Source organism: Homo sapiens, chromosome 7, assembly GCF_000001405.40.
Source record: "Homo sapiens chromosome 7, GRCh38.p14 Primary Assembly".
NCBI lineage: Eukaryota > Metazoa > Chordata > Mammalia > Primates > Hominidae > Homo > Homo sapiens.
Window position 1 is genome coordinate 53,294,063 of NC_000007.14, and position 23,188 is coordinate 53,317,250.

General features: G+C 37.7%; 1 pseudogene, besides 2 other annotated features; it reads left to right on the forward strand.

The window, feature by feature from the left end:
• Positions 21,583-22,083: an enhancer, noted in NCBI's record as "H3K4me1 hESC enhancer chr7:53383338-53383838 (GRCh37/hg19 assembly coordinates)". NCBI's record gives its function as "activates a minimal SCP1, AML or CMV promoter by ChIP-STARR-seq in naive H9 embryonic stem cells {active_cell/tissue: H9 hESC(naive)}" and the evidence as "EXISTENCE:reporter gene assay evidence [ECO:0000049][PMID:30033119]".
• Positions 22,084-22,584: an enhancer, noted in NCBI's record as "H3K4me1 hESC enhancer chr7:53383839-53384339 (GRCh37/hg19 assembly coordinates)". NCBI's record gives its function as "activates a minimal SCP1, AML or CMV promoter by ChIP-STARR-seq in naive H9 embryonic stem cells {active_cell/tissue: H9 hESC(naive)}" and the evidence as "EXISTENCE:reporter gene assay evidence [ECO:0000049][PMID:30033119]".
• Positions 22,143-22,657, forward strand: RNF138P2 (ring finger protein 138 pseudogene 2; annotated as a pseudogene).

Below are 23,188 nucleotides of genomic sequence, written 5' to 3' on the forward strand. Positions count from 1 at the left end.
ATTTTGTATAACTCCTGTGCACATAATAAAATATGTAAGCCTATTTTTCTGCTAATGTGTGTACTATCAGTTTGTTTTATGGACTCACCCCTAAGGAGAAAAATGTAAATTTACCTACATGTGAAATTTAGTTTGGAGCTTGGCTGCCGTGGACCTAGCTAAAACTGGGTGGCCTGGGCTCTCCCTTCCCAGATAAAACTTCTTTTTTTTTTCTTTCTGAAGATGGTAAGGGTGGAATGGAACCATAATCTATTTTTTTAGAGAGTTTGGACAGTGGCAGTAAGAAAACAGATATTCCAGCCTGGAAAACTGCCCCTTGTCATGCTGCAGCAAAGCTTTCTTAAAACAGCCACTTTAATGATCAGAAAACAGATCAGGTTGCCCAAGAGCCTCAAGTTGTAGAGAAATTGATTGAGAAAAGCAAAATGCTTATGGGTGTCAGATACTCCTCTGCTGCATTGAGGAAGACACTACAAGTGAGCTTATCTCAGGCAAGGGGGTGCCAGTTTGCAAACAGGTGAACTAAGGGAGTCCTGAAGAGAGGGAGGCTCACCTTGAGTGGCCTGAAATCTACATTTTTAAGAATCCGTAAAGTAAGGTCTTACAAAATTAGAAAAGGCACTTGTTTCTATTCTCAAATCAACAGAAAATAGGACTGACATCAGAGCCTTTCCCCAAATTCCTCCTGCTTCACTGAAACAGGGGGAACCAACCTGAAGGCAAAGATCAGGCCCTTTCCTCTCCAACCTGCTGATTCAGAGGGCCCTAATTAGTGTTATCCTAAAGGAAGAGGCTGAGGCACAAACAATAATTTTAAAGCACTTACTTGAGCCAAAGTGAGGATAGCTTCTCAGGACGCACTTCCGCATTGCCTTGGAAGGGCTCCCTTAGACCTCTGTTACAAGCAGGTTCTTGCAGGCAAAAAGGGGACAAGGAGTGGGCTGACACAGTTGATTGACAGAAATTCTCACTGGTTTGCAGAGATAACATTGGATAGGGTTTGGCTATAGATTGCTGAACTATAGGGTATGGGTTATGGTGTCCAGCATATGGCATTTTATGGTTACTTGGCTTCAGTCAGTGTAAAGCCCATATAGCAAGTGGCTTCAAGAGGTCATTATTTAGTGCCAGGAAGAGTGAGAAGAGACTGCTGTTGCATTTTAAATGCCTCTGTTATCCTGAGACTTTAAAAGGACTCACATTTCTCAGATAACAAACTTCTTTCTTTTTCCTAGCCACTAACAAATGAGAGAGAAGGATGAGCAATGCACAGGAGCCAGTCAATTAGAAAGTTTGTCAAGCTGGCCATGCACAGTGGCTCACGCCTGTAATCCCAGCACTTTGAGAGGCCGAGGCAGGCGGATCACCTGAGGTCAGGAGTTCGAGACCAGCCTGGCCAAGATGGTGAAACCCAGTCTCTACTAAAAATACAAAAATTAGACGGCGTGGTGGTGGGCGCCTGTCATCCCAGCTACTCATGAGGCTGAGGCAGGAGAATCGCTTGAACCTGGGAGGCGGAGGTTGCAGTGAGCCAAGATCGCACCACTGTGCTCTAGTCTGGGCAACAGAGCAAGACTCCGTCTTAAAAAAAAAAAAAAAGAAAGTTTGTCAAGTTAAGACACAACCTGGGAAGAGAAATTGTCAGTGTTGCAATTTCCTTATTATCACATTACTCAGAAATACAATCTTAGTAATATTTTGAAGGAATTTTATGGCTCATAAAAAGGTTGGCTTTTAAAAGCAACCTATAGGCTCCCAAATTTGATCAACAGAAAGCTGCTCCATACTGGAAAGAGAATACCTCCCTAAAATTAATTTCCTCTGGGGCACTGGAGAGTGGTGGGTGAGGATACCCTCCGGGAAAGTAGCTGACAACCACTGTCCTCCCTTTGGCCACAGATCTGCAGGCATCTAGTGCCACCTCTGCTCTCTGGGTCGCAGCCATCTCTCACCTCAATACGTGGTGGTTCATTTAGGCACTGCAGCCTTGAGGGGAGTCACAAATATTCATATGTCTCTTGCATTTCTTTTCAGCAGCAGTAGGACAAAGAACATGGCTGCCGCTTCAAATCTTGTGTGAATTCACCTCATCACTGGAACCAAATTTATATCTAATAAAAAGGTAAAATGCATTAAAGTTATATTGTTAAAGAGGGAAAAGAAATAACTAAAAATATTTTAGAGGAAAATATAAGAGACTATTTCATGAATGTAGGGTAGGGAGTAACTTCAAACATGACACAAAAAGTAATAGTGAAATACAAATTGATATGTTCTAGAGTATTACATTAAAAATTAATGCTAGCGCTGCCCAAAGATCCCTTACACAGATAAAAGCCAAGCCACAGACAAACAGAATATGTAGACAAAGAATAAATTGACAGTAGATACATATTCAGAAAATGTAATGAATATGAGTCCTTAAGAGTAAAAGAAATAGATTAAGGGGGGAGAAAAGTAGGCATAGACTATCAATAGTCTAATCAAGAAAGAAGAAATCAGACAGCTACTGAGCAGATGAGAAGTTGTTCAACCTTAATGGCAAACATAAAAATCAATGATGGAATATGATTGGTAATATTTTACAGTTTGATAATAGCAAGATAGAGGAAGATAAGAAGATATCCTGTAGATCGGGGTCCCCATGCTCCAGGCCATGGACCGATACTGTTAGGAACTGGGCTACACAGCAGGAGGTGAGCCGGGTGAGCAAGTGAAGCTTCATCTGTATTTAAAGCCCCTCTCTATCACTCGCATTACTGCCTGAGCTCCACCTCCTTTCATCAGCGGGGGCATTAGATTCTCATAGGAGTGCGAACCCTATTGTGAACTGCACATACGCGGAATCTACATTGCATGCTCCTTATATGAATCTAATGGCTGATGATCTGTCACTGTCTCCCGTCACCCCCAGATGGGACAGTCTAGCTGCAGAAAAACAAGTTCAGGGCTCCCACTGATTCTACATTGTGGTGAGTTGTATAATTATTTCATTATATATTCCAGTGTAATAATAGAAATAAAATGCACAACAAATGCACAAAATAAATTCAAGAAAGTCAGAGTGAATGAGTTCTATAATTATTTCATTATATATTCCAATGTAATAATAGAAATAAAATGCACAATAAATGTAATGCCCTTGAATTATCCCAAAACCATCTCTCCTGCCCCTCTGGTCTGTGGAAAAACTATCTTCCACAAAACCAGTCCCTGGTGCCAAAAAGTTTGGGGACCACTGCTATAGATTGTATTTCTGATAGATATGACTAATAACTTCACTTCTGCATTTTTCAAGAAATTAATAAGGCAAAATGTGAATGTTAATTACTATGAAGTTGATAGGAATAAAGATTTATCAATCACCATGACATATAAATACTGCATAATGAAAATATTAATAATAATAACAGCAGTAATAATTATTCAAGAAAGTCAGATATTGGCACCCTCTCTTCTATCCATAAAACATGGAAGCCTCCTTGATTCTGGTATGTTGGAGTCTTCATAATCAAAGCCTCAGCCACTTAGATTTATCCCCTGAGTCATGCCAGTAATAATCGGTTTGATTCTAGAAAAGAAAAGCTGAATATAATAATTCACATCAGTAAATTACCATCTAGGTTCAATTGCTACATGTTTTAAAAATTAAATATATTCTAAATTAAATGTTTTCATTTCTTGTGACAAAGTGTTTCTATATATCCCAATTGCATGACAATTTAACCTGAAATGGACCATCAATTTTCAAATTTAAAATATAAATGTCTGTAAAGGTCTTAATTTTAGACTATGAAAATTATGCATTCTGGGATTTAGACTCCTTTACTTTTTGCTAGAGAAGAGTTAAAACACAGCCTGACAAACTGATAGAGCAGGGTGAGGTGCGGGCATTCCGGCTGTGGTCTCTGCCTTTGCGGCCCTGCAGTGGATTGCCCCCAGCTGGTTATGTGTGTGGGGTTCTGTTTGCTGCTCCCGCTGCCCCACGGCCTCCTCCCTGACCTCAGGTGCAGAGAGGGGAAGAGTGCTCTGCAGTGAGGGTGTATCATCACACAGTTTTCTTCTTTGTATAGTAAATATTTTTGGAAACACTAAGTTAAATACCCAGAAGAAAGTAGTAAAGAAACAAAATCATTTAGAAAACCTAAATGATCGACCAGCATATCATATAGTATACACCTAGACAGTACATGACTGTACTAGACAATCATGCTTTGATACCCATATATAAAATAGTAGATGTTAATAAATATCTTGCTGTCTTAAGATGAAATATTTTCCAGCCTTTACAGCCATAATTTACAATTTGAACTGAATAATTATATTTATTTATATATATATATATATATATATATATTTCCCCACCCTGCTAAAAATTATACTGGAAGCTGTAGTAATGTCCTCCACAATGGTCATTACTGCTAAATAATTAACCTTGATATTCCTTAAGAGCCCCTGCTCTGCTAGCAATATTTGGAACTATTGAAGTGAGAGATTTTCTTGCTGATATAATAATTTCATGGATAGTAGTACTACCCCAAATGAAAAGACATTAAAACTGACTTCCAGAGGCTTTATTTTTCTTCTAGTAAATCCATTATGGACAGAATTTAATTCCTTACTGACTCTAGAATTACAAAGCAAGTACTTATGTGATGGAATTATACTGAGCTACTAATTATCTGTTGTACATTTGAAATTTAAACAATTTCGTTTGCCATAATTACTTTTTTTGTCATTTTAGTTTCAATAACTAAATTCACTTGTTAAAATGACATTATACAGAAATCTACATTAAACAAAAAAGTGATTCCAAAGATGTAAAGTTCAATTTAAATTAATAATAATTATACAATTTAATACTAATTTTGTCAGTTTGTTGTATGCTTTTACCCATAGATAATTCCCTGTTCATATTATAAAGGAATATATTAATTTTCAAAGTGGATATGAGATTAAAATATGGCTTATTTTACAGGGTTGTTATTTATTGGTGTCAAGTTGGCACTAAACACTGAAAAATAGGTTCAGAAACTTATACTAAAGTGTTTTCCATCACCATTTATTTTATTAATATGCATGTATGCATTCAATTTACTCAAAATTAGGTGAGACTTATGGTTTTAACACTCCAAGATGGATTGTGGTGTTCACGTTTTAAATGGAAAATTGTTTCTAATCTTGCTTCTGTGTATATATCTGATTGTTCCCACCTTGTGTGATTTATATCCAAATTTCAGAGTTCTGAGTACTAATTCCACATTCAAACATAAGGAAGAAGGATAGAATTATTTAAAAGTATTGTGTACGCTTGGAGTCATCAGTTTAATTTCCTGGAAGCTCTTCTATCAATTACTGATCTCCCAGAAACTTTTCATGACCTAGTCACTCAATTATTTAACAAAAACAATTTTAATTTTGCATTAATAGGATTGCTATCTTTTTACTGAATCGCTAACATTTTAAAAATCCCATATTATATTGATAATTGCCATTTATAAAGTGTTTACTGTGTCTCTTGAGCTTTATGTACGTAGACATAACACCTCCATTACTAAAGCTAATTCATGGGGTAAGAAAGGCCACGTGCATGTTGCACATGAGGGGTAAAACATGAATAGAACTAAAATTACTGCAGTTCACACAGCTAGTAACCAGCTCGAGCTCTGGGCAGCACTCTTGATGACCTGGCTGCTGTGCCTGCACTGTTCATCCCACCAGGATGGCTGCAAATCATGTGGTCAGGGGGATTGTGGCTCTCCAGGGAACATCCAAGGCCACCTAACATCAAAAGGAAGTTATGTGTGTGCTTCAGTACTCATAGAGGTAGCAGCTATATGAGTGTACAGTAGTTTATCCAAAACACTTGGGACCAAATCTAGCCCAAAACCCTGAATGTTTCAGCTATAGAAACATAGTAAACACCTCTTGCAGAAATTGCTGGAAGGAGGCTCGAATCAGTCATGAATATTCTGTATAGAAATGTATGAATCTTCATGCTAAGTGAGACAAACATTATAAGTAACTTCATTTCATTTTCCATCAAGTATTACTACCAAATAAGCTATTACAAACCTTCACGTTGCTATTTTTTAAAATTGCATAATTGTGGATAAGAGAAGAAGTTACTACTAAAAGGAGGACTTCGTCAGAAAAATTAAGAGCAGGTTATGCATTGCTTGTTATGTGGCAGTATGGCTATAGACCGATCTACCTTGTCTCTGCATCCGGGCTACACTCAATGTTTAAGACATGATTAGTTGTCCCAGTTTTCCCAGATCTAAAAACTTGTTTGCCTAAATGGTTAAAACAAAAAACTTCCTGAATACTCAACTGGTGTTTTATAAATTAAGATTTCCTCCCAATTTGTTTAAACTTAAAATTAATTATGTACATGGACATAATGAATATTGTGATAATACCATTCTGTTGAAACTGAACACAATGACAGCAACTAACTGAAGACAGACCCTCATTAACTGTCATCTGTACAAACCTAGACTGAGCTCACTCACAATACCCAACATCGGTCTTACAACTGATAGAAGTTCATTAGATCACTGTTGCAGAATCTGAATTTTCTGTCACTAGATCACCCAAATACTTCTCTTGTTTTTCTAAAAGTGGTTTCCTTTTTGACACATTCATTGAAATAGTTTCTTCTCTAACTTATATACTCATGAGATTTCTCATGTCATTCTAAATCAGTGGCACATTCTAATGTGTTCTTCAGCAACTAAGGCTATAAGACATGGGTGAAAACATGTATATACAGGTCCCTTTTAATCTAATGTGTAGTCTATTCAAATATGACACATTGGTATAATATTGCCTATGGTAATATTTGGAGTAAGTTTGGGATTTTTTTGACATTAAATCCACATTGAGAGCTTATAAACAGTAACTGTTATTTCAGTACCACATGAACGTTGTGGCATAATGTAATTATTCCAGACTGAAATGAAATAGAAAAAGCTTCTCACACTCAAGTGTCAGGTTGTCCTATATAGGATTTTCGATTAGCTCCCCATTTTAATTAATCAACCTGACTTTTTCCCATTATATTGACATTGCTAAAGGTGAATTTTCACATTCCTTGCTTTTATTAAGTACTCAATTCTGTACATTTTCAAATTATTCTACATAGGTGAATATACAAAATCTAAGTTAATTTTATGCCTTCATATATCTTATTGATCAAAGCTATAATTTAATATTTACATGGAGATGATTCTCATTAATATTGAGTGCTGTATATTTAAAAATTCTATAAAATAGCAACAAAAAGCATACATCATAGGAAGCAAGACTGGAGGACAGACATGCAAAGACAGAAATGCAACTATGAACCTAAGAACCAACCTTGTCACCATTAAGTGCACCAAACCAAAGCCCACCAAGTCTCCCCATTTTATCTTTACCCTGACCTAAAAAATTGCTAATAATAGAGTTTTTTTTTGTTTTTTGTTTTTTTTACAAAGTTTTGCTCTTGTTGCCCAGGCTGGAGTGCAACACTCACTGCAACTTCTGCCTCCTAGGTTCAAGAGATTCTCCTGTCTTAGCCTCCTGAGTCGCTGGGGATTACAGGTGCCTGCCACTATGCCTGGCTAATTTTTGGTATTTTTCGTAGAGATGGGGTTTCACTATGTTGGTCAGGCTGGTCTCGAACTCCTGACCTTGGGGGATTGACCCTCCTCGGCCTCCCAAAGTGTTGGGATTACAGGCATGAGCCACCATGCCAGGCCAGTACGTTTTTTTGTTTTGTTTTGTTTTTTTAATGGGGGAAGAGAGCAGTTGAGAAACTACAAAAAGTCAAGCTCATACATTTCCTGATACCCCTCCCTTGAGTTTTATAACGGGTCTGAAGGCGAATCCTTACATGAGATATGTCACATAAATATATTCCAAAGGCAGTAGACAGTCGTTGTCCCTTCTACTGAGATTAAAATTACAATATGCTTACAAAGAATGTGCTGTCAGTACGTACTCACACACATCAAGATGCATATTTTTTTGATGGGACAAAGATGAGCACATCAGACAGTTGGTGTTTTCAATACAGCACACAACACATGTAACAGTTTGGGCTCACATAGGGATTTAACCTGTTCTCATTTGCAGCACCATCCAAATCACAAACCCGAATCTCATTGAGTGATTGGGGGCTCAATATTTATTAATTTAACATGTTTATTCTACAGCTCTGTATTATTTCAATACCAGACTCCAGATAGATAAGAATGCATCGTCTCATTTTTTTTTGGCTCTTTAGTTCGAGAAGTCTATTTCTTTTCAGATTTCTTCTTCATGATCATTTACTAACAAACATACCCATGGCTTGGTATGTTAACAGAAGAGATGACTAATGAAATCTAAATAGTCATAAAAGGAAAATTCCCATGAACTAGATAAACACAAGAATTACAAATGTGATGAATAGGAATAAGATGCTACAGAAATTGATATTGCCAAGCTTATCATTTCAGCCACATTTCAATACTCATAACAATTACTTAGAATCAGCAACACCGCACAGCTAATCAACTGCATCTGTTCATCTTCACAGCTGTTACTCCGGAAAAAATGCCACTCTCCTCCCCACTCAGCTCCAAACACAGTGTGATTGTAATGAACACCTATCCTGATGAGGAATGCAGGCTGCATCTTGGAGAAAATTCAAATAGAGGTCCATTTGAAAATGGAAGATATGTAGTTACCAAGGAAACTCGCTGTGAGTCAACAAACTGGCTTAACTTCGAGCTTTGTGAGTTTATTCCATACAGAATTAACTTGCTATTCATTTTTACCTACTCTCCTAAAATGCTAGGAATCAAAATAAAATTATAAATATTATTAGCCATGCAATTAAAAGAGTAGTTTATTTTGTTATTTCTTGTCATTGATTTTGAAGAAAATATGTATTCTTTTTCAGCCTTTATGGATGCTCTCAGCCATACACATGCATATGCCTCCATGGTTATGCAATGGAAAAGGAAGAATGTCAGGAAAAATGCAGAGGACAGATTAGGTAGGTGAATCTGCCATGAGGGGTTAAGAGACCATGTAAGGAGGGTCAAAGGTTCATTTCTTTGAAAACACATCACAGAAGCAAGATCTGAATGGAAATCTTACTATAAGAAGGAGGTGGGAGGAAAATGAAAAAAGTCTGGGGATGAAAAGAAGCACAGGGCTGCCTTTTTTTTTTTTTAGACGGAGTCTCACTCTGTTGCCAGGCTGGGGTGCAGTGGTATGATCTCGGCTCACTGCAACCTCCGCCTCCCAGGTTCAAGCGATTCTCCTGCCTCAGCCTCCTGAGTAGCTGGGACTGCAGGCACCCACCACCACGCCTGGCTAATTTTTGTACTTTTAGTAGAGATGGGGTTTCACCATGTTGTCCAGGCTGGTCTCGAAGTCCTGACCTCAGGTGATCCGTCTGCTCGACCTCCCAAAATGCTGGGATTACAGGCATGAGCCACCACGCCCAGCCTAGGGCTGCCATTTTTAAGTAAGATGCGTTATGGCCCAAATACAAATAGACAGAAGGAAGGTGGAAAAGAGGCTGGGTGAGGAGGCAGAGCATGCCTTACCTCTTCAGATCTGTGAACATTTGGAGGTTTTATTCCAAGAACAATCAGAAGTACCTAATGACTTCTGGCGAGGGAGATTGACATTATTCCAGGACAACTGTACTTAAAACATATGACCTGTCAAGAGTAAATATTTTTTCTGGATTCTTCTGTGTCATCTGTCAGAATTCTTCTGCTGCCCACTTCTGGATTTCCCCTTTCTTCTCCACCATGCCTTGCTAAGCTGCAGTGTCTTCTCAACCTCTAGCCTGGAAACGGACCTCCTGTAGTCCCACAGCAGTATGTCTGGAGTCATGTTTGGCTCTTCTTTAATCTTATCTGCCTCCAGGCACCATGTCCTGCAGATGCAAGTCCCCACAGTTCTTGGTAGGACTGCGTTGTGATGCCTATTGCCTCAGCTGTAAGCCAGGCCTCACTAACTCAGGTCACCCTGGAGCAATAGCCTTCTCCTTCCAGTCTCTCACTTTCCAGACCTGCCTTTTGCCATGAGGCTGTGCTAGCAGTCACTGAAACATCCAGATTTGATTTTAGTTAGCTTTACTCCTAACTTAAAAAAATACCAAACCCCCATTAACTTTTATAGCATGTGACTCTGGATTCTCCCTGGTCTGATGTTAATGTACTTAAACAGCAGTAGTTCTCCCAAGTCCCAATTTTGTATAATTTTGGCTTACTTCCTAAAACGTTCTCTGTTCCAGTCTTTACTAATGCTCTCAGCCTGTGGAGATCTTAATTATGCAAGATGAGTTTTTAATTAAGTCTCTGGTTTTGCCTGTGATAATAAAATTTACCTTTTATCCAGTACTTACTATGTGCCTGTCACTGTTCTAAGCATGTTAATTCACAACAGTGTTCTGTGTGGTTTCTACTGCTAGCCTCATTTCACAAATAAGGAAGTTGAGGGTAAACATGACATACACCTTGTAGGTGGCAGAATTTAGATTTCAATGCAAGTATCCTGCCCCAAGAGCCCACATGGTGAACCAAAAGCCATGTTATTACGTACCTCACGGTTGGTACATGGTACATCACACCCTTTCTCAAATGACTTATGGAAATTTTCTCTCTTACTATATTGTCTTCAGAACCTATATTTTCTTTGGATTTTTGTGCTTTTTTTTTTGCCTTCTATTAGTAGGTTATTAATAGTATACCTTGAGCCCTATGCAGTAGTACAGTATGTGGTTAGATGAACAGCCCATCCATCAAATCCTGCCTGTCCAGTTACCATAGGCTGACTCTAGGAAACTTAAACTGTCTCTTCCTCAGCTACCACATCTGCAAAATAAAGATAATAACATCAGGTAATACGAGGTAATATTACCTCCTAGTGGGTATAATGAAGATGGAGTAGCGTGTGTGTGTGTGTGTGCGCGCACGTGTGTTTTAGAACAGTTCCCATTCTAGCTCAAATTGAATGCTTATACAAGTGTAATTTCCAGTACCACTTGTTATTAGTATTAATTTCCAGACTTACTTCTAGTCGGGTATTCTCCCAATTATATAAACACATTTCTACATTTTTTCCCAATAATGCACAAGATATTACAAAAAGAGGAAATAAGAAACTGTGGTAATAGGTAACTTGTCACTCTGAGGGTCTGCCAATTTCCAGAATTGGAGCCATTTATTTGATTCTGCAGCTTTACTGCAGTCGTCTAGGTTGGCTTGTCAACTTACCAGGCAGCCATGGTCAAAACTGCTGAGCCAGGAGACACTGAAACGAGAGAAGATTTCTTGTCATAATCCAACTCCTCTTTCCTGTTACCCATGTCCTGGCAGATCCATCCACCCATTTCCAAACTTTTGAAGACCCTAATTTTTTCACTTTGTGCTAAAACTCTTCTTACTTTAAACTTCAGTCTGTTGGGACTCAAAAACAGATACATCAAAATATGGCGCTTTGACATGCTGAACTAGAGAAGAAGCTTCAAGGTCTTTCTGACCTTCCCCAACCTCTTATCTCTCTGTCCTCTGTCTCTCCCAAAGCACAGGATGAAGTTGTTCTCTGAAGTTCCTTTATCTGCCTAAAGTCTGCACCTGCCAATTTCCTCTGGTTCCTATTCCTGAGTTTTTATTAACTGAACTCATATTGCAGGAAGAAAGACTGAAGTCTGTCAACACACCTGAGCAGATTTGCCACAAATCTCTGTCTGCTCTGTAAGCACAGCAGACTTTGTCCCAGGCCACTGTATGTTCTTCAAGCCCATGGAATTCTTCCAAAGATTATCTACTACTTCCCTAAGGTCATCCACACTCCCCATCTCCCTCACCCCTAAGAAAGTCTAGAACCATTTCTACCCCATTGCATGGTGGGGCAATCGCTCTGCAATTTCCCCCATGCACACTAATAAATTTGTATTCCATTTCTCCTGTTACTCTGCCTTTTGTGAGTTGATTTTCCAGTGAACCCTCGGAGGACTAAGGGGAAGTTTTCTTTTGTCTTCTATAAGGCCAACCAGTCATGCTAACTATACCTTCCTACTCATTCTCAATTTTTTCCAACTAACTAAAATAGATACGTTTATCATTCCTGAACTTCCCATATTTCCTTTATCTAGGAAAATAGTACAATATATTTGAGTCCTTGCAGTTGTGTTCATAATCTACTATATAACATTTGTGTAACTTCAGAAAGATCTAATGGGCAGTGTTGATCTATGCTATATCCATAGATGAGTGTGGTTGCATCAGAGTGGACTCCTGACCCAAGAGGAGACAAATAATTCATTCATCATCGGAAGACATCTCTCTCTCTTTCTTCCTTCCTTTCTTTCTTTCTCTTTCTTTCTTTCTTTCTTTCTTTTTCTCTTTCTTTCTTTCTTCCTTTCTTCCTTCTTTCCTTCCTTCCCTCCTTCCTTCCTTTCTCTTTCTTTCTTTCTTTCTTTTCTTTCTTTCTTTCTTTTTCTTTCCTTTCTTCTATCTTCTATCTATATTTGCTTTTCTGAAAACTTGAATAAAGGGTCACAGAGACGTGAAAAGTGATGTAGCCATGGATTACAAAAGCAATGGTCAGTTATCACCTATGTGGAGCTCCTCAAATATATCTTGGCACCCTAATCCCTGAAAGCCCGATTTTTAACTTTTTCCTTTTATTTAGTGTCTTGCCTCAGTATCCTTCTAACAATATTGGTGCACCTCCACTAAGTTTATCATCCCTATTCTTATCTCACTTTGGTTTCTTCCAAAGCAGTTTCCCTAATAAGCACTAAAAGGAGCTGTGTAATAAACCACCACAACTTTGTGGATTGAAACAACAATCATGTATTTATTTCATAATTCTTCAAGTGAGTAATTGAGTCTGTCTTGAATGGAATCTTTCATACATTCACTCATCCACCCTAGAGTATGTATCTTACTCAGCAGTGAGCTGTCGGGTGGCTTTCCTGACAGTGGCTGTGCTCGTCATCACATCACTGGGAGCTTCAGGTGAAACAGCTGCATCAGCTTGGGTCTTGCTCACATGCTCACTCATTCTCAGTGAGGCTAGCCTGGGCCTGGTCTTATGGAGTAAGCAGGGATTTCAAGAGAGAAAGACAAAAGGCACGCAAGTCTCCTTGGAGCCCAGGCATGTAACCCTGCATATCATCACTTTTGCTGCATTGTACTGATCAAAGCAAGTCCCAAGAACCACCCAGATTTGAAGAGAAGAGAAATAGACTCCATGCCTTAGGAGGAGGTGCATTATTGCATTGCAAGGAGTGTGGCATCAGAGAGCAGTGAATAGTTGTAGTTAGTTTTGTAATCTATTACAAATTCCCTTTAACATAAGCTCAGTTACTTGGCCATATCTCTCCCCCTTTAGGAGACCATGGCAAAACTGGGCAAAAAAATAGCATCACCCTACAGATTAATCCCATGACAAACTCATTGTTACTGTTTTGAGGTAGGCTTTTAGTATCCCCTCAAAATCTTTCAATTTTTTCCTGTCAGGACTCTTTTCCAAACCCCTCATTACTTTTAAACCCTCTCAATTCTCCTTGAGCCATCTGTCCAACTACCTGAACCCTTTGTTTGTGAGAGAGAGATAAAAACTATTCAAATAATGTCTTATTTTATGAGTGCAGTTTTTATTACTTTTTGTTACAGCGCAGTAATATTGAAGGGCTTGAGAGGAAAAACATATACAAAAGCTTGTAGGAATAGGGTGTAATCAGAAAAATGACTTTATGTCTGGTGCCAGTCACCTGCAACTCATAAAATTAATGCATCATTTAAATAAAGAGCAGAATTAACATATCCAGTGTAGAAAATGGGGAAAAACCTAGGGCCAAATGTCTGGGCTTTATATTTGCCTTTCCTAACAATTAACTGTAAACTGTGGGCAAGGCATAATCTTTTCTTGGCCTCTGTTTATTAATCTGTAAAGTAAACAGGTTGAACAAAGTGATTGGTGTGGTTACTTACAGCAAGAAATATATCCAACCAGGGACTTTCAATGGGCAATACAAAAAACCCGTAAGTTTAATGTTCTGCAGAAATAAAACAAAACAGACCATTTGATGTTTAATGGATAAATGTTTAAAATCTCTTCTTAAAGATGTTTTACTCATGTATTTTTAAATCTGCATTTCTTTGTTTTACTATAAGCACATTTAAGGAAAGGCAAAATTGTTCTGTAATACATACCCATCTGTTACTTCTTTTATACTTTGTTATAGTAACATATTTCTATAGTTATGGTACACTGGATATGTTAATTCTGCTCTTTATTTAAATGATGCATTAATTTTATGAGTAAACAATGACAAAATCACTCCTGAGGATTGTTGTAATTTGAAAAATGAAGAGTATACAGATACAATGAATACTTCCAAACACGTGTAATGTAATGGTTCAGTGGTCACTACTACTGGCTGTCAGGATGGCCAACTTAAAGCATATTTTCCCATTTTCTTTACAAGTTTCTCCATGATGTTATGGGAAATTGTGTGTGTGTCTAAAACCAAGTGGTCAAATCTCTAAGTGAGCCATAAGAGAGTCTCCAGGTTCCTAATGAGGGAAGTTGTACAGCAACTCCCTGGTGCCCCTACAATGAGATTTCAAATCTCTGGCACTGTCAGAGATGATCTTTAACCTGGCTCAACTTTTAGTCCATTCTTCAAAGTATAGGCTAGAATGGGCTGCTTCTGGGAAGGTTTTGCAGGTGGTTTATTCCATCCTTACTGTTGACTTAAGAAATACCTCTAGGTGTCAGTGCTTTTGTCTTTACTGTCAAAATAATGACTACATTTTTTTTTAAACAAGTAAACTCTTTAACAAGTAAACTTTTTTTAACAAGTAAACTCTTTTTCTTTAACAAGTAAACTCTTGAAAAAAAAAGCAAGAGGAAAGTATTTAAGATAATTAAGTCAGAATAAATTCTAACCTCTCTTTATGTATTTACATTAGTTTCCTGTGAAGACATCTTTCAACTCTACTGCAGATATGCCAAAACTGTGGGACAAGTGACCTTCTTTGGCTGGCATCTTCTTTCTGGGCTCCAGCTAGATAGCAAGCTCTTCCAACAATTCCCCTTAATTTTGATGTTATATTGCTATGGAAAAAAAATACTATTGTTTAGGATATCATTAAGCAGGTACCTAACAAAATTTTTATAGTTTAGTAGCATGGAAGCTATTGTTTTCATTAACAATGTATTAAAGGTACAGGTTCTCCAGTGAATTCACACATGTCCATCATCCCAACTACAACACAACTCTATGAGATGGAGAGATAGCACTTCTCCCATTCTATAATAAGAATATAGAGCTTTTGTTACATCAAGTGCCTTTCCACAAGTAGTGCAGCTGGTAAATGGTGGAGTGAAAAGAGACTCTAGATCTTTTTAAGTCAGTTCCACTAGAGTGGATGGATGGAAATATGTGAAATCACCATGCCTCTTTACCACTCTGAGTTTGTTTCTCTACCTGTGGAGTCAAAGGTTTTGGACTTAGCAATATCTATCTTTCCTTCCAACATTGACCTATTCATTCATAGATATAGAAGGTATTTCAACAGTGAGACAGTGTGACGCTACCTCTAGTAACCATTCAGAAGAACTCAAAGTACACTTTGTGTATTTGTTTTACATCCAGAAACATTGGATCAAATGAATAAACTTAATTACTCATAGTCTTCAAAAACAGGTTTTATATTTTAAGTGACCGAGAGTGGCAATAGGGCAGTATTTATTGATTTGTTCATTTTTAACTTGCCATTAAATATCTCACCAAAGATATTTTAAAAGGCAGATATGCTGCTGCTATGTTCTGTTTGTAAAGCAAATTTGGTGGGCTTCATGGTCAATGCATTGCGGTGATATTATGCTTGATCACTTCCCTACACCACCCGTGGAGCTATCATAGAAAATATGCATATAAAGAAAGGAAGAAAAGAGACACACATAAGTTTAACTTCAACTAATCTGTTACATTGAATAGTTAAGAGTCCTAGATCGAAATCAGAAAAGCAACACAATAACCTCCTCTACACCACTGTTACTTCTGTAAAACCTCACTTTGCAGGACTACTTTTTCCATCTCTGTGGACATAATTTGGGGTAGGTTCTACTTACTCTTTGGTTACTCTCAGATAATAAAAAGTCCTCCAATGTCATGTAATTGCAAAATAGTCTCAGTTCAGTGATTGATATGTCCAGTCTTACGTCACAATCTAAGCCTTAGTTTAGATAGTTTCTCCAGTCCACACTAAGGCGATGACAGGAGTGGTTGGCTTTTCCCCTCTGTCCTTGCTGATTGCTTTTACCACTATAACATGTTTTTCTAACCAATGCTGCTTTGGGCCCATCCAGAGAAGAATAGGGAGTGGTGAAAGGAGGGAGGAGAGGAAAGGGAATAGGCAAATTACTTTTCCACCAATATAATGGTGAGTTCCAGTGCTTTCTGGGCTCCGCCAGAGTTGAAGCTGACTTTTTCTGTCATAGTGTGCACTTATGGGTTCTTTGCAATCTCCCTCATTATATTTGAATAAATAAATACCGTTCTCTCCTTGCTGGTCACTTATGACTTCCTTCTTAGCTGCTAGACATCTCACGGTAGCCCTTCCACATCATCTCGCAGGCCCCTCAGTCCTCTAAGGGGCCCTCTGGAGTAGAAGCTCAGGGGAGCCCTGACTACTCTCTCATCTAATCCATTTCCAGGCCAGGGAAAACACTCATGCATATTTTGGTCTGACAAATTCTGGCAACACAAGTCCATCCCATTTCAGTTTTATCTCCTTTGCAGCTAGCCATTTCTGTGCTCACACCTTTATTTTACTCATCTTTGTTGGAGAGCAGGCTATGCAGTGTGCTAAGGTCCTGGCACCAGATATGCCTCCTCTGGGTGATTCCACTGATGTTTCTAACACAAAACAAAAGTCAAATTCGCCCACCCTCCATACACACTCATAAATGCACTCCAACCTGGGGGAAGTGCAAGACTCCCTGCACACAGATAGTGCTCTCCTAATACACTTTCCTAACCTTAAATTATTTGCTCAAGCTTTCCAAACTATTTTATAAGGTGGAGATCAGATATGACTGAAAGAACTAATTTTCAGGCACTTTCTTTTCATGAAAGGAACATTACTGTCTGATACCTGACTCAGAATACATCAGCTAAAACTCAGCAAAAACTGTGACTAAAATAGTTATGATTCTATTTTAAATGTGCTATTGTAGAAAGGTACCATGATAAAAGATGCAAAACCATGAGTAGGAGTTGAAGTCTGAGGCTGGGTGAATTTCAGAACCAGAAGCAGGCGTGACAGATGAGACTGCAGATCCCCAAACGGGAGACAGCCTAAGGTCAGACCCTGGAGAGTGAAGACTAGAGCTGAGAGGCAGAGACTGGAATGGAGCAGCCCCCTAACTGGGGGAAGCTAACATGGTTTAGGAAAAAACATTTGCCATGTGGGAAATAAGAGGATGTAAATCGCGGTGTGCTGGTAGCCAGCACTGGCCCCGGGGAGCAGATGTTCTCTGTGGATGGAGTATTTACAGCATGGAAACCAGCGAACTCTTCAAATCAGGGCTTTTCACCATGATAACGAGCTGTTAAATATTTACCAGCATAACAATGGCTACGAGCCTGTATACAATTTAAAACCTGGAAGTGGTGCTTTAATACCAGACAAAGTAGAATTTAAAGCAAAAGATGATAGAGAAATATGGGTACTGTAATAAAGATACATGAGGCAACCCAACAAGAGGGACTAGAAGTTGTAACTTATGTATTTACAGGAAATACATAGGCAAAAGTCTATCCTAATACAAGAAAAAATAAGAATTCCACAGCAACGAGGGGAAAATTTTAATAAATTTCTCTTAGACATTGATCAATCGAGTAGGCAAAGCACTAGGAAGAACATAGACTCTTTGACGAAGAGAATTAAAGGGTTTAATTTAATGGAAATTCATATACATATACACATACATATTCTGCTACAAAAATCTAAAAATCAGAGCATTTTAATGTTCAATATTGAGGATTATAATGTATGCATTAGTGGTGGTGATGATTAAATTGCCACTCTTTCTCTATGTATACATATGCTATTACATTTCCAGCTATAAAAAAATAAAAACAATGTGAAGGTGATTATTGTTTTTAATATGTGTTTCCATTTTCTAAGGATGTGACTGAATTATTTCATTGTGTGTCTTATGGTTGTAAACATTCATATTCTGTAGTGAAAGCATCAGGCCTTAAGGCTCATTTTAAAACATACAAAGAGGCCTGGTTCGGTGGCTCACGCCTGTAAACCCAGCACTTTGGGAGGCCGAGAAGGGTGGATCATGAGGTCAGGAGATCAGACCAAGACCATCCTGGCTAACACTGTGAAATCCTTTCTCTACTAAAAATACAAAAAAAAAAAAAAAAAAAATCAGCCAGGCGTGGTGGCAGGCACCTGTAGTCCCAGCTACTCGGGAGGCTGAGGCAGGAGAATGGGGTGAACCCTGGAGGTGGAGCTTGCAGTGAGCCAAGATGGCACCACTGCACTCCCTGCACTCCAGCCTGGGCGACAAGTGAGACTCCGTCTCAAAAAAAAAAAAAAAAAAAAAACCCCACAAAGAATATCATGCAAAACTAATTGAACTTTTTAAAGAAAGTAGAAAGATTTTCTAGTGTCCTGGAAATGAATGCTCAGTGTGACAGAATCCGAACATGGAAAAACCATGAAGCCTTAATTATACTTTCATATTTAGTTTCAAGGGCCAGAGATGCCAAAATAATTGGAAAGACACATAGCAAAAATTATAAGAAATGGTAAAACTTATAATTATGAACAAAGCAATAAATTGATTGTTAAGATACCTCTGTCAGAAACCGCTATGCATAATAGGGTTAGAAATTCAGCCAAAATATATAAACTTGTAATTTCTGTTTTTTTTTTTCTTTTTGAATCAATAGCTTCCATTGTACATGGATGAAACTACCATTATTGTGAAGCAAATCTTTTGGTGTTTATCAGCTTGGAGGTGTAAAGAAAAGCCCTGAGCATATAGTACTTTTTCAACATTTGCCAATTTGTAGAAATAAAATGAGATTTGTGAACAGTAAAACACACAATAAGCAATGCACTTGTGTAAATAAGAATAATGCAAATGCAACGATGTGTCAAATCTGAGACTTTCATCCATGTACCATAGTGTAATATAAAAAGGGTACTCCAGTTGATCGTGTGTGAACACTCTGGAGATATACTGATGAAAGCTAGATAATTGCCAGCCATATTAAGAGCAGGATATTGAAAATTTTTACTTTTTCTCAGCTTTATATAAATAAGTGGGTAGAGACTAAATTGATTATTGTTTTATTATGAAGCTCATTGATTTACTAAGAGAAATTCTCTTATTTTATTTACATTGTAAGAACTTCCATTATTTTATTAAACCTTTCAGTATGAATGATAGGATAGATCATTTTAAGAAGGCAGCATCTTGAAATAAAAATCTGTGCACCAAAAGTCATTTCTATTATTTTGTTACAGTAGTTTGTGTCAGTGTTCACACCTCTCAAGAAATTCATTAAATGTTTTTGTGTTTCCCTAAGTTACATATCTGAGTCTGGATTCTTTCAGTGCAAATAAACATCAGAAAATTTCAAAAAAGAATTTTCTTTTAGACAGTTCACCATGGCATATTTAACTAAGCAATATTGAGCCAAATATCTTTTTATTACTGAATCATCACAAATATTTCAAAAGTTCTCATTAAAGAACTTATTTTCCAATGAGCATTTTCACAATCATTTTAAAGTGTTCTACAATTTATAGTCTGCTTTTATTTTACAATTAAATTTTTAATTTAATAAGGTTGTTTTGTCACCTTCTATTTATAGCAAGTGTTACTGGTTTTCCATTAAGGTTAATATATAAAACTTTCATTTAAAGTATGTCTTGTAACTAAAATTGAGTCAATATAAGAAAAGTAATATTAAGTAGGGTATAATATATCTTGTTGACAGTTATTACAAGATGGTATAATTGGTAAATAAATAAATGAAATTTGGAAAGCATTTTGCCATATAATAAAGAGTCTTAAAATATTCTAGTGTTCTATCACATAAGAAACTGTGCAAGAAAGAAGATAAAGGAGAACTTAAAAAAATTGAAACTTAATATTTGAATCTATGTTGGGTGCCATAATTTGTATTTTGCATAAGCCGTTTTATTTAATTCCTATGAAAATTTGTTATTTGGTTTTGTACCTTTAGTTTTAAGATGAGATAATAAAGGCCGTGGCTGACCACTTAATTATTAAGCTCCATCAATAATAAATGCTATGAAAGGCATTTGCACTCCAGTCTGTCCCACTGTATAGAGTGCTATTTGAGGTGCACACATGGAATCAGACATTCCACAGAAACAATATGTCCCTTCCTCCAAGGCACCCAGAGAAGAGATGCACACAATAAAAAAATGATGTTTCAGAAATACAGTGTGATTTCTGCATAGAAGCATAAAAAGGTGGATTTGCTCTGGGGACCAAGAAGTCATGAAAGGGGAAGTGCCAATCGCTCTGTGACCTGCAGAAAGAACTGGAGCACTCAGGTTGAAAAAAAAGATGAAGTTAGTCCAAGCCAAGAGATGAGCAGATGAAAGGAAGGAAAGGGTACAACATAACGGTCTAACAAAGCAATTGCCAAAGTAAGTTTGGATGCTTCCAAATGAAATCATAAAATTTCTGCAGCAGAATACTGCAGCGGAGTCCTTTGCTGCTCGCTGAAGATTCACGTTGTCTTTTCTGCCATGTGCCTGGGAGTCCAGGGACTGGTTTGCCCAATTAGACAAGTGTAGCAAGTGTGCAGTTTCCAGGCTGATGAACAGAAGAGGATGCATTGTCCTTCCTGGGGTTCTCTCTGTCCTGGTGTGACAACACATACAAGACCTGTATCGTGATGGCAATGTCCAAAAAGCCCAATATTTCCGTCCTCCTTACTTAACCAGATTTGCTATGGATGGTACAACACCTGCTTTAGGAACTGAAGATAAATTTACTTTTAGTGTATTAGGCCACTGAGATTTAGGGGTTAATTTTTTGGTATAACAAAGCATAGACATTCAAGTGCAAATAATACAAATGTAATGAATACAATTATAACTGAGAAGATAAGCTGGAAAAATCATTGCAAATGTGACAGAAAATGGCTAAAATCAATAACCTGAAAAGTTCAGACAAACCATTTAGAAAATGATTAATTCCATAACAGACAAAAGTCTCAAAACATGATGATATGTAACATAAATAACTTCAAATTATACAAATAGATGGCTTTTTTTATTAGTAATTACAGAAATGTAGATGAAAACAATGACAACACATTAACCACTTTTGCTTCAAAACTGTCTAAAGTTCCAAATGATAATGCCAAGGACTGAAAGAACACAGCGCAGCACACTGCAGCGGCATTCTCTGGTCTGCGGTTGTGTAGACGCTCTTCACTTTCTCCCTTGGACTTTTGGACCCTTTCCACATTCTTTTGAGTAGTATATAATGATTTTGTTATCAGAAAACGATTAACATCTAAAAACTGAAATCAGAAAAAGGATAGAGTATTTAGGATAATATTCAACTAATACCCATGTACTGAAAGCTAGTATGAGCACAAAGACATTTAAGAAACTCATATATATATGTGGGTGTGGGTGTATGTGTGTATACACACATTTTAATATACTTCAAAAGCACCTGTAAATCTCAAACCATCATTAATAAACAGAAAAGTACAAAATATTTTGTAAAAAAAAAGTATTCAAAAATTATTTTTAGTAATTTATAAATAGCTAAATGTCTAGAAAGTGAAATGGATGAATAAGTCTTTAGTGTGTTAGATCGCTGAGATTTAGAGGTTGATTTGTTACCATAGAAAAGCATAGACATTCTGACTAACACAAATACTAGGACTAAACCGCGTTGCTGCTGTAAAGGAAACAGCCCTGCCCTGGGGTTCAGATCTGGGGACACTGCCAAGCCTAGGGGTTAGGTGGCATGGGGACTCTGTGTCTGGCAGGCAGAGCCGGGCCTGAGGAGCTCGCAGCCAAGACCTTCACCAGCAACCATTCCTGCTGTGCCCTGAGGCGTTGGAAACATTCCACAGAGTAACAGGGCAGCTATTCTTTAGTAACAAAAATGTGTCTACTGAGATGAGAGAAAGCGTAATAAATCTTCATATCTGCCATCAAAACAGGACCAGAAGAGAGAAGTCATGTCTTGAGTGAACCTTACACACTGAAAATGTCACAAGGAAGTTTTTTAGTATCTGTGGATGCTGTAAAAACAGATTAAATTCTAGCAAAAGAGATATCATTACAAATCTTATTAAAAAAGATCAAGATGAATACAGTGCTGTGTCTATAATTCCAACCTCTCAGGGTTCAGCTGGGAACATTAAACAGGAGCGAAGCATCCACAGCTGACAGCAAGGAAAAGTCTCAAAGGGAATCTTTGTCTTCTGGGTATCACATGTTTAAAAGTCTCTTCCATCCAAAGAAAACTACACCAAGGCAGCCTTTACCTGCACACTTCAACAAGTCTCCTGTTGTGTCTGTTTTGTGTTTCTCATCTATGGGGAAACCCTGAGCTAAACACTCAGCATTTTTATTCATCTAAATCCTAAATGCATATTGGATGGTGAGAAAGCTTCTGTCTGATGAAGAAACAAAACAAGACATCTGTTCAAGAACCACGCTGATTAAACTTCCAAAGTGTAGCTGTTGACCACAGGGGTTAGAAAGCTACCAGCTTATGGGCAAAATCCAATACACCACCTGTTTTTGTACCATGAGTTAAGAATGACTTTTGCTTTTTAAAACAGGTAAAAGCAAAACAAAATAAAAGAGGAATATTATTTCGTGACATGTGAAAACTATGTAGAAATCAAATGTAAGAGTCCGTAAATGAAGCCTTCTTGAAACACAGTCATGCCATCTGCTGACTGTGGCTTCTTGCGCCTTGTGGTGTGAAAGTGAGATGATTTGGCCCATAAAGCTGAAATTATTTACTATCTGGCCCTTTATAGAAAACATTTGCTGAACTCTGTTCTATATCATCTTATCTGCAAATACCTTTCATTCCACAAATTTTTTTCTGTTTGTAAAATACAAAAAAGTACAGG